The 12,922-nt window shown below is 41.8% G+C and overlaps 1 long non-coding RNA gene across 1 annotated transcript; it reads right to left on the reverse strand.

The window, feature by feature from the left end:
• Positions 1-438: 438 nt before the first annotated feature.
• On the reverse strand, positions 439-3,110 carry LOC124904325 (uncharacterized). Its single transcript, XR_007066416.1, has 2 exons — positions 1,666-3,110; positions 439-1,215 (listed from the first exon to the last, which is right to left on the reverse strand). It is a non-coding gene; the product is annotated as an uncharacterized LOC124904325 (long non-coding RNA).
• Positions 3,111-12,922: the final 9,812 nt, after the last annotated feature.

Consider the following 12,922-nt stretch of genomic DNA (forward strand, 5'->3'; position numbering starts at 1 on the left):
ACACACACACACACACACACACACACGGTTTGCTTCTCTGGAGAGCCCTAATACAGCATCCAAACCCTGATAAACTTTTTCTGGTCTGCAATTGTTTCATTTGAAAGAGACCCAGTAGATTTGCTTGGCATCTGGGGAGTGGGTGGTGGGTGGGGGACCGTCTGAATTTTGGTCCTTATTTTTCAGGTTTCCCTCTGGCTTGGACTTTATAGTTAAGTTGGTAGACCTCTTCATACCAATGATTACCCTAGAAACGATGCTCAAGCCGTGAAGAAAAGAAACAGTTTTAAAGCGCCAACACACACACACTCATGTGCACGTCGGTGGCACACGCAGCTGAATCTGGACTGAAGAAATATTTTCTGATAGAAGTCAAGCTTGATAAAAGGAATGTGCGCTCCACATGTGAAAGTACGGTATTAATAATTAAGCCATGCGATCATTACCTCAGGATATTATTTCTTAAATATCTCTTGCAAAGGCAATATGATTACATATGAATGATATCAATTTTCTACCAACAAAAAAATCTGCAGAAATAGGAATTGAATTACACTGTCCAATTTGCTGTAAAGTTCACTGTATGTGAAGAAATTAATCAAAGCTACCACCACCCATTTTTATGGGAACATAAAATGATGTGAACTTCCATTTTTAATAAAGATGCATAGCACTTTTATGAAGACTGACTAATAACACTATAATGAACTGAAAAGCTACTGATATATTAAGAATGAAAATTTTGAGGAGTGTATTTACTGAGACTTTTTCATGAGAGGCGGTATTTCTCTGAAGTCTCTACTTGAATCATTATAATGGCTCAAAACAGAGGCAAAATTTTCAGGGAGAGCACAGCATGAGTGTTGTAGAAATTTATCCTCAGGATGTGAGAATGGTCCCAGAACGGATGTGCCTAGAGAACAGTACTTGTGCTCCATTGATGCCCAACGCCGGGTGTCTGGGCAACGGGGCAGAGCAGAGGGGGCTACACCGGAAAGCTGCGGCTGCTCCTTTTTATCTTCCTCCTTCACCTCTTCACCCTCAGAGCACCAACAATCCACCAGTAATTTCTTGGGAGCCACTTCCCGGAACAGAAGCCCCTGAAAGATGAGGCGATGGGATGTTAAGGTTTTGCTTCACCATGTGGCATCTTCGTGCAGCTCCACCTCTCCCAGCTCTGGGCAGGGCCCTCATCTTCATCCTCAGCCTCAGAACCTGGGAAAGAATGCAGACACATGAATTGTAAAACAAATGCCTTTGACTGTCTGAGTCAATTCTACAACAGAGAATCACAGACTTCGTAATTTATAAAGAACAGAGACTGGCTGGGCGTGGTGGCTCACGCCTGTAATCCCAGCACTTTGGGAGGCCGAGGCAGGTGGATGACTTGAGATCAGGAGTTTGAGAACAGCCTGGCCAACATGGTGAAACCCCATCTCTACTACAAATACAAAAATTAGCCAGGTGTGGTGGCGTGGGCCTGTAGTCCCAGCTACTCAGGAGGCTGAGACAGGAGAATCACTTCAGCCCAGGAGGCGAAGGTCACACTAAGCCAAGATTGCACCACTGCACTCCAGCCTGGGAAACAGAGTGAGACTCCATCTCAAAAAAAAAAAAAAGTAAAAAAAGAAAAACTAATATAAAGAACATAAACTTATTTCTCACCATTCTGGAGGCAGGGAAGTCCAAGGCCAGAGGGCTGCAGTTCAGTGTCTGGTGAGAACTGCTCTCTGCTTCCAAGATGGTACCTGGAACGCTGCCTTCTCTGGAGGGTGAAAGGGCAAGGAGGACCAAACTCACTCCAGCCCTTTCATAATGTCATGAATCCATTCATCTCTGGAGGGTGAAAGGACAAAGAGGACCAAACTCCCTCCAGCCCTTTCATAATGTCATGAATCCATTCATAAAGGTGGAGCCCTCATGACCTAAATGCCTCCCATGAGGCCCTGCTCCTGGTGGTGGTACGGGGCATGCCAGTGCCACTTTGGGCAGATGGAACAATTTGCATGAGCCCCAGTTGGCTCAGAGGCATCTCCAGGTATCAGAACACCCAGAAGCCGGCATCTCAGAATGTCTGTGCTCACCCAACGAGAAGCTGCCTTAAGCCAAAGATATCAGCACCCAACACAGAGCTCAAGGCATGGACTCATGGTCCCATCTGAAGCGGCGCAAATCACCATGTTTTTGTTCATGTATTTTTTTTCTATTTTCAGAATAAAAAATTAATCCATGCTTACTATAAAAATGTGTAAATACAGAAAAATATAAATAAAATAACGATTATCCAAAATTCTCCCTCCTGGAAATAACATCTGTTAGCATTTTGGTATATTTCCTTTCATTCACATGCACACACACACACACACACACACACACACACAGGTCTACATATGCAGACATACATGTACGATTGTTATAAAACAACCTCACATTTTTATTTTTTATTGCTTTTCAAATTTAATTCTGAATGGTTAACTTATATTCCTAGTTTGAAAACCAGAAAGTAGAAACTGTTTTTTGCCCTAACGTTTTGTGATGAGCATTTTTCCAGGCCATTAACATTTCATAAACGTGTTTTTTAATGACTCCAAAATGTAACACATGTGGATGCACATCATTTACTCAGCCGTCCTCTGTGGGTAGGTGTTCAGGTTGTTTCCAGTTTTTCACGTTTGTAGCAACTCAGTTGAGCTCCTGAGCGCGAGTGTGTCCTGCAGTTGGATTGTGGGATGGTCTTTCAAGACGAGAGAGAGTGGAGGGAGAGGAGAGGAGCCCCGTAGGAAGCCGGCCTCCACCCAGTCTGCAAACACACCTGCTCCCCTTGCCAGCCCCGGGCTTTGCTGCCGGCCCTGGGGGCTTCATGGAATGGGGCCTCCTGGGCTTGATGGCTGGGGAGCTGGCATCTCCAGAGTCCCTTCCTCAGCCATCAGCACACACTGGAGGGGCCAGGAGTGGAAGAGCAGCGATGTCTGTCCTGGGTCGGTCACACCAACACAGCGGGAAAACTCTGAGAGCAGCTAGAACCAGCCCATCTGGAATGTTGAGAGACCCAGAAATAATTGGACCTAACTCTGTTACTAGATAGGAAAGTGGGACTGTAGGAGCTGAGAAACTTGCCCCACATTTGCACAGTTGGTTCCTAGCCATGCAGGACGCACCCCAGGCGGTCACCCCCACCTTCCCCGGGCCCTCCTCCCACGCTGTGCTCCACACTCAGTGCTCTCAATGCAGCATGGACGCACCTTCCTCAGGCCTTCACTCCCTCCTAGTCCAGAGCTTCTGGATTCCTCGCTCCTTGTCCCCCTCTCTGTCTCTCACTTTCTTCTGCGTCTGCATACATGGTTTCCCTTCTGTCTTTTCTCTTTGATGCCTCTGTCTCTCTCTGTCTATGTGTCTTTCTCTCTGTCTGTCTCTAACTCTGTCTCTTTTTCTATTTCTGTATCTCTCTGTCTCAGTACCTCTCTCTGTCTCTCTGTCTCTGTATCTGTCTCTCTCTATTTCTGTATCTCGCTGTCTCTGTCTATCTCTATTTCTGTATCTCTGTCTCTGTGCCTCTCTCTGTCTCTGATTCTCTCTCTGTATTTCTGTATCTCTCTGTCTCTGCCTGTCTCTGTCTCTGACTCTCTGTCTGTATTTCTGTATCTCTCTGTCCCTGTGCCTCACTCTGTCTCTGTTTCTCCCTCTCTCTCTCTCTCTCTCTCACACACACACACACACACACACACACACACATTCTTGCACTGGCAATGTCCTCTGCTTGATTTGTCCTCCCCTCCCAGCCGCAAGCCTCCTGCACATGATAAAATCCTCCTCATTCTTCACCTTCAAGTCTCCGCTCAAATGTCTTCCCCTCTGGGAAATCTTCTCTAACCTTTCCAGACAGAGGGAAAAGCTGTCTCCTTTGGGCCCAGTGGTGCCTCGTTCATGGCCTGTTATTGCACTCGTGGGAGGCTCAGAGGGTCTCTGCCACCTGCACTGGGCTGAGACCCTCAGGATCAGGACTTGGCTGGAGCCCAGTCCATAACAGGCATTGGGTGCAAGCTTGGTGAATAACGTGCTCAGTAAAGACATTTTCCAGGCTACTTAAGTCACAGACACCTATGGAAACTAAGCTATTACCACAACCAAGCACAAAATATCACATCTACGTCCTCCGATGCTGCTTTGGTAGAAATCTTTGGTTTGGAGTCAGACACTTTGGTGCCAAGACAGGTTTTTATAAGTTAGGAGGACAGGGAGCAAGTCATTTCAGCTCTGAATCTTGGTTTGTCTTTCTGTAAAGTGGGAGTATTATCTACCACATGGTAGTGGTTAGACAAAATACAGAAGAAGTACCTGGCACTAAATAGTGCTCAATGCACTCCACTTAGCATTATTACTGTTGTTATTATTTACTGGGCCATTTTTGTGATGGACAGAATAACGTTCCCCCAAAGATGTCCACATCTTAGTCCCCAGAGTCTGTGAATCTGTTCCTTACACAGCAAAAAGGACTTTGCAGTTGGGATGAAGGACCTTGAAATGGAGAGGTGGTCTTGGTGGACTGGATGTAATCACAGGGATCCTTATACGAAGGAGGCAGGAGATCTAAGCAAGAAGGAGAAGTGACCATGGAGGCAGAGAGAGAGATTGGAGGTGCTGCGCCATGGCTTTGAATATGGAGGAAGGAGCCATGGACCAGGGGATGCAGGTGGCATCTAGAAGCTGGAAGAGGCAAGGGGATGTGTTCTCACTGGGAGAAGGAACATAGCCCCGCAAACCCATTCTAGACTTCTGACCCCCAGAAGGGTAGGAGAAGAAATCTGTGCTGCTTTAAGCCACTACATTTGTGGTCATTGGTCACAGTAGTGTAGCCATCTCAGACAGTTCTCTGGACTAGAACGCTGGATGGATTCCTACGGCCCACGGGATGAATTCCAATCTCCTTATTGGAGTATTAGGGACTAAACTCACTTTCCAAAAGCCTCACATTCCCCTAAAGAGCTGGCACTATCTTCCCAGTTGCTACCAGAAGGCTCAGTCTGACAAGTTGCTTGACAGTGGGAAAAGACATCTGAAATTGAGACTCCCCGGAAGTCGTAGGTCAAACCCCTTCCCCGCCCACAATGTTCATTTCAGCCAGTGGTCAGTGGTCCTTCCTCAGTGCTCCAGGCCACCTGCCTTGCACCTAGGCACTGCTGTGAGCCTCCCTCCTGGAGCTTCCTCATCCTCTAAGATCCTCCAAGACCCGCTTCAGTCCTCCGCTCCATGCTGGCCCTCCCGGACCTCCTCACCGGCACCAGCCTTCCTGCTGCAGGCTCTCCTGGCTGCCATCGCGGGACACAGCTGCGGCAGCGCTGACAGCAAAGGCGGCACATGCAGGTTCCTGCAGGGCTTGTGTCTCACCTCTTCCCTTGGATCACAGGCCCCGGGAACACCGGCCTTGCCTCTGCATGCCCCCGTGGCTCCCAGCAGAGCCTGCCACGCATGCAGAGTCACTGGAACATATGACTTGGTCTTCAAATGCATGATAGGTAGCTGGAAGGATGTAGGTCTCAGTCCAAGGAAGTAGAGCTGGGGCACAAAGAGAAAACCACTCAACCAAGTCTCCCCTGACGCCTACACTTCCTTAGGGACAAGAAGGAAAGAAGCAAAAGCGGCGAGTTCACAGGTGGAGGTGACAGCCCACCCGGGTGACTCTTCCCGCAGACTGGGCTTGGAGAGGGTTGGGAGATGTTCGAATTTTTACCTCTCACATTTCTAGAAGTTCACCATGTGAACTTTCCACACACTGATTGCTTCCGTGATATTAATTTTCAAAATAAAATCTTTCTTTAAAATGACAAAGTAAGAAGCAGGACTTAGGAGACCCATCAGCAACGACCCGTTAAAAAAAAATCGCTTTCATTCCAAGGCTCATATACCCGCAGTCACTCAATTTCTTCCCACACAGAAGAAAATGGGTTAACAAGCTAACAGCCACGCTATAAACGATTTAAATTAATGATTGATTCCTTTAAAGACAGCGCGGGATCTATCACTGGCATGATAAGCCTCACCGTGTCCTCTATCTGCATATAGCCGTGTAACACAGCAATATCTGGCAGTAAATATGAAAAAAAATCTATTTTTTCTAGTTTCCAGCATATCTCCTGAGTCTGAGATATGCCTCGCTTGTTTTTCAAATATTGATGCAAGTAATTCAGCTCCCTTTTCAGGGAGGCCTGTGGACGGGTTACCTGTTGGAGTGTTGATGCTAATCTCCTTTCTGAAACACAACCCTTCCGAAAAAGGCAGCAGCCCCCCTCGGCGGCGTCGGGCTGGGTTTGGGTGAGTGCAATGATAATTACCACTGATTAGTACCACAACAATTGCAATTTTAATAAAAACACCTCCTCCCCAACAGATGATTTTGCGAGCTCCTCTTCTGTTCCTTCTGGCTGTGGAACGCTGCCTCCCTTCTCAGTGTGGGCCCCACGGGTGCAGTTGCTCCTGCAGGGAGATGGCTGTTGCTTCTCCTAGCCATTTTGGCTGAATCAGTAGCACAGCTTTAATTTTTTTTTCTTTCTTTCCCTTTTTAAAACATTTTTTTCCAAAGCCTTATGTTTATTAGGGAAACAAGCACATTTTGTTCATCGATATGGGGTTTAAAAATACAATCTCAGTTGCATTGTCCAAAGCTCCTTCTCTTACTTGCCCCCTTTATGGAGGGCCAGTGTCAGGTAGATGAGCTACCTGAAGCCTCCTGGGGAGGAAGGAAGAACATAGAAAATGGGTTGGATCAATTCCTCTACTTCCTATGTGGAATGACTTGCACTTTGGGTAAGTTTTTTATGTACTTTTTTTGTTTTTTTTAAAGCAGGCCAACGGTTTACTCTCTGGTCCTGGCAATGACCAAGAAATTGGGATCCAACAAGTGTCTGAAGGGGACTTTCTCATGGGCAGAGCCTGAACTGTGATGAGCACAGATGCATTGTGGGAGAATCATGGAAGCTTTCTGGGTATCAGCATCAGGTAGGTAGGAATGGTGCTGCTGGAACCTGGAGAGAAGCCACAGCTAGCTGAGCTGGCTGTTGGGGGTTTAACTCTCAGCCTCAGCCATTCTGGAACATAGCAGGGCTAACAGCCAATGACATGGCTAGATTTGAGGGTTATGTCAACACCTACATCCCTGAATATTCTAGGGCTTGCATTCTATCATCAGAAGTTATTGATCTTCAGTACATAAAGTGGAGGGAATATATTAAGCCTTCTCCATTACACACTTTCTAGTATAAACTTTTTGGTGTAAACAGATTGAATGAATGTAATATTGACATAACATTACAACAGGAAGGAGCCCTCCCCACACTCTGCTTCCCAATTTCTCCCAGCCACCCTTGCTCCTCCACCCAGGGTGGGCTGGCTTCTGATGTCCTGTAAGAAGCCACTCATGTAACACCTCCTCTGAGAACTCCCCACTCCAACCCACTCCCAGGATCCAGTGCCTCTTGCTATCACAACAGGAGTCACTCTGATATGACTGTGTGCTTGGAGTGCGGGCTTCCCCACTAGGCCAGAGCTCTGTAAAGACAGCAGTGGGGCCTTACATCCTCATTTATTCTACAAACATTTACCATCTGTCTTATGTTTATCCGATTAGCACCATGCCTGGTACTTGGTGAATACTCAGCTAGTATTTGCAGAATTAATGAATGAGACAAGAAGAGAATTATGGAATTTTAAAACTACCAGAGGTCGCACAAATGATCAATCCAAACCTAACACAGTGTTGGCAATTTAAAGATGAGTAAACAGTGACCCAGAGAAACCAAATGACTGAACCATGTAACATGAAGCCCCTACATGGGGGTGTGTGTTCATGTGCACCAGCTGTATGTGTCTTTGATATCATGTAGGCATTTGGTGTTTTTATTATATATGGTATGTTTAAAAAGCTATATTCTATTTGGTGTTGCTAATATATAAATATATAATTGACTTTTACACACTTATTTTGTATCCAGTAACCTTGCTACATTCTCTTTGTATTTTTAGAGTTTATCTACAGATTCGTTTAGATTTTCTACATATACACTCAAGATGCCTATGAGTAATGATAGTTTTATGTCTTTATTTGCAATTCTTATACTTTGTGTTTTTTCTTGTCTTATTGCCTTGGCTAGGATCCCAATCAAATGTTGAGTAGAAGTGCTGGTTTTGGGCAATCTTGTCCCATTTCTTATCTCTGGGGAAAAGCTTTCAATATTTGATCATAAAGTATGATGTTTCTGGTAGGATTTTTATAGATACTCTTTAACAGATTAATAATGTTATGTTCCTTGTTTGCTAAGAATTTTTGTGATAAATGAGTGTATTAGTCCGTTTTCATGCTGCTGATAAAGGCATACCTGAGACTGGGCAATTTATGAAAGAAAGAGGTTTAATTGGACTTACAGTTCCACATGGCTGGAGTGGTCTCAGAATCATGGTGGGAGGTGAAAGGCTCTTTTTACACGGTGGCAGCAAGAGAAAAGGAGGAAGAAGCAAAAGTGGAAACCTCTGTAAACTCATCAGATGTCATGAGACTTATTCACCACCATGAGAATAGCATGGGAAAGAACAGTCCCCATGATTCAATCACCCCCCACCCTGGGTTCCTCCTACAATATGTGGGAATTCTGGGAGATACCATTCAAGTTGAGATTTTGGGGGGACACAGCCAAATCATATCAATGGGTGTGGAATTTTATTGAATAGCTTTACAGTTATAGCTTTATTAAATAAAATAATTATTTCCCTGTTATTAATGTGGTGAATTATATTGGTTAATTTTAATGTTAAATTATCCTTATATTCCTGGAACAAACTCAATTTGAATGTGATGTTTTCTTCTTTTAATATGCTATGAGATTTGAATTGCTAATTTTCATTTGAGATACTTTTCATTTATGTTTATGGGACATTATTGTGTAAATTTTCTTTTTTTATAATGTCCTTAATTGGGTTTTGACATCAAGGTTATTCTGTCCTCATAAAATGAGTTGGGCAATGCCCACTCTTACATTTTGGATAGCATCATTTTTTTGTCTTACTATTCTCTAAATGTTTGTAAATTTTTCACCAGTGATGGCTTCTGCACCCAGAGATTTCTTAATGGGGATATTTTAAATTTTAAAAAATTAAACTACAAAATATCATTTTTAACTTAGATTCAGGGGGTACATGTGCAGGTTTGTTACCTGGGCATATTGTATGATGCTGAGGTTTGGGGTATGACTGATCCCATCACCCAGGTACTGAGCATAGTGCACAATAATCAGTTTTTCAACTCTTAGCCCTCCCCGCTAGTAGTCCCCAGTTTCTATTATTGCCATCTTGATGTCCATGAGTACTCAATGTTTAGCTCCCACTTACAAGTGAGAATATGTGGTATTTGGTTTTCTGGTTCTTCATTAATTCGCTTAGGACAATTAATTTGCTTAGGGAAGTATGGCCATTTTAACTATATTGATTCTCCCAATCCAGGAACATGTAATATTTTTCCATTTGTTTGTGTCATCTATGATTTCTTTCTCTGTGTTTTGTAGTTCTCCTTGTAGATATTTTTCACCTCTTTGGTTAGATGTATTTCTAAGTATTTTATTGCTTTGTGTGGCTATTGTAAATGGGATTGCATTCTTGATTGTCCTGAGCAAATTAATGATTGTCTTAGCTACATCCATTTTGCTGCAAAGGACATGATTTTGTTATTTTTATGGTTGTGTAGTATTCCATGTGTCTATGTGCCATATTTTCTTTATCCAATCCACTGTTGATGGGCACCAAGTTTGATTCCATGTCTTTGTTATTGTGAATAGTGCTGTGATGAACATGAAAGTATATGTGTCTTTTAGGTAAGATGATTTTTTTTGGATATATACCTGGTAATGGGATTGCTGGGTTGAATAGCAGTTCTAAATTCTTCAAGAAATCTCCAAACTGCTTTCCACAGTGGCTGAACTAATTTACAATTCCACAAATAGTACACAAGCATTCCCCCTCTTCTGTAGTCTTGCCAGCATCTGTTGCTTTTTACTTTTTAATAACAATCATTCTGACTGATGTGAGATAATATCTCATTGTGGTTTTGATTTGCATTTCTCTGATGATTTTTGACATTGAACATTTTTTCTTGTTTGTTGACTGCTTGTATGTCTTCTTTTGAGGAGTGTCTGTTCATGTCTTTTGCCCATTTTTTAATGGGGCTATTTGTTTTTTGCTTGTTCAATTATTTAAGTTCCTTATAGATTCTGGATATTAAACCTTTGTCGAATGCATAATTTGCTAATATTTTCTCCCATTCTGTAGGTTGCCTGTTTACTCTGTTGATAGTATCTTTTGCTGTTAAGAAGCTCTTTAGTTTAATTAGGTCCCACTTGTCAATTTTTGTTTTTGTTGCAATTGATTTTGAGGACTTAGTCAGAAATTCTTTCCCAAGGCAGATGTTCAGAATTTCCTAGGTTGTCTTCTAGGATTCTTGTAGTTCGAAGTCTTGCATTTGAATCTTTAATCCATCTTGACTTAATTTTTGTTATGGTGAAAAGTAGAGGTCCAGTTTTATTCTTCTGCATATGGCTAGTCAGCTAACCCAGCACCACTTATTGAATTGGGAATTCTTTCCCCAATGCTTATTTTTGTCAACTTTGTCAAAGATCAGATGGCTATAGGTATGTGGCTTTATTTCCGGGTTATTTATTCTGTTCCATTGGTCCATATGTCTGTTTTTGTACCAGTACCATGCTGTTTTGGTTACTGTAGCTTTATAGTATAGTTTGGAGTCAGGTAATGTGATGCCTCTGCTTTGTTTTTTTGCTTAGGATTGCTTTGGCTATTCTGCTTTTTGTTTGTTTCATATGAATTTTAGAATAGTTTTTTTCTAGTTCTGTGAAAAATAATGTTGGTGTTGAAAGGGGCACCATTGAATCTGTAGATTGCTTTAGGAAGTATGGCCATTTTAACTATATTGATTCTCCCAATCCATGAATATGTAATATTTTTTCATTTGTTTGTGTCAACTATGATTTCTTTCTCTGTGTTTTGTAGTTCTCCTTGTAGTTATCTTTCACCTCTTTGATTAGATGTATTTCTAAGTATTTTATTGTTTTGTGTGGCTATTGTAAATGGGATTGCATTCTTGATTTGGCTCTCACTTGAATGTTATTGGTGTATAGAAATGCTGCTGATTTTTGTATATTGATTTTATATTCTAAAACTTTACTGAAGTCATTTCTGGATGTAGAATCAGATTGTCTGTGAAGAGAGATCGTTTGACTTTGCTTCTTCTTTGGATGCCTTTTATTACTTTCTCTTGCCTGATTGCTCTGGTTAGCACTTTCAGTACTATGTTGAATAGGAGTAGTGAGAGTGGACATTCTTGTCTTGTTCCAGTTCTCAAGGGGAAATCTCCCAGTTTGTGTCTGTTCAGTATGATGTTGGCTATGGCTTTGGCATAGATGGTTCTCATTATTTTGAGATATGTTCCTTTGATGCCTAATTTCTTGAGGGTTTTATCATGAAGGGATGTTGGATTTTACTGAAAGCCTTTTCTATGTCTATTGAGATGATCATATGGTTCTTGTTTTTAATTCTGTTTATGTGGTGAATTACATTTATTGATTTGCATATGCTCAACCAACCTTGATCCTAGGAATGAAACCTACTTAATCATGATGAATTAACATTATGGTTTGCTAGTATTTTGTTGAGGATTTTTGCATTTATGTTCATCAGGGATATTGGCCTGTGGTTTTTTTTTTCTTCATCGTGTCTTTGCCAGGTTTGGTATCAGGAAGATGCTAGTTCCTCCTCCTCAGATTTTTGGAATACATTCAGCAGTATTGGTACTAACTCTTCTTTGTATGTCTGGTATAATTGGGCTCTGAATCCACCTGGTTTGAAGTTTCTTTTTGGTTGGTAGGCATTCTTAAATTAATGATTCAATTTTGGAACTTGATATTGGTCTGTTCAGGGTTTCAATTTCTTCCTGATTCAATCTTGGGAGATTGTGTGTTTCCAGGAATTTATCATTTTCCTCTAGATTTTCTAGTTTGTGTGCATAGAGGTGATCATAACAGACTCTGAAGATCTTTTGTATTTTTGTGAGATTGGTTGTAATGTCACCTGCGTCATTTCTGATTGTGCTAATTTGGATTTTCTCCCTTTTATTTTTTGTTAATCTAGCTAGTGGTCTATAGATCTTGTTTATCCATTCAAAGAACCAACTTTTGGTTTTGTTAATTCTTTTTATGAGTTTTTGGGTCTCAATTTTGTTCAGTTCCACTCTGATTTTAGTTATTTTTTTTCCTCTGCTAGCTTTGGGGTTAGTTTGTTCTTGTTTTTTCTAGTTCCTCTAGGTATTTTGGGATATTTCTTGCTTTTTGAGGTGCGTATTTAGTGCTATAAATTTTACTCTTAACACATCTTTTACTGCATTATGGATATTTTGGTATGCTATGTTTCTGTTTTCATTTCTTTAGAAGAATTTTTTGATTCCTGCCTTGATTTTATTGTTTACCCAAAAGTCATTCAGGAGCAAATTGCCTAATTTCCAGGTAACTGTGTGGTTTTAGAAGGTTTTCTTGGTGTTAATTTCTATTTTTATTCCACCGAGGTCCAAGAGTATGGTTGGTATGATTTCAACTTTTTTGAATGTATTGAGACTTGCTTTATGCTTAAGAATGTAATTGACCTTGGATTATGTTCTGTGTGCAGATGAGAAGAATGCATATTCTGTGGTAAATGGGTGGAGTATTCTATTGATGTCTATTAGGTCTAATTGGTCAAGTGTTGAAGTTAAGTCCAGAATGCTGTCTAATGCTGTCAGCGGGGTGTTGAAGTCCCCCACTATTATTATGTGGCTGTCTAGGTCTTTTTGTAGGTCTAGAAGTGCTTGTTCAACTTTAAAAATCAATATAAGACTTTT

The sequence above is a fragment of the Homo sapiens genome, chromosome 18 (assembly GCF_000001405.40).
Source record: "Homo sapiens chromosome 18, GRCh38.p14 Primary Assembly".
In the NCBI taxonomy this organism is placed as follows: domain Eukaryota; kingdom Metazoa; phylum Chordata; class Mammalia; order Primates; family Hominidae; genus Homo; species Homo sapiens.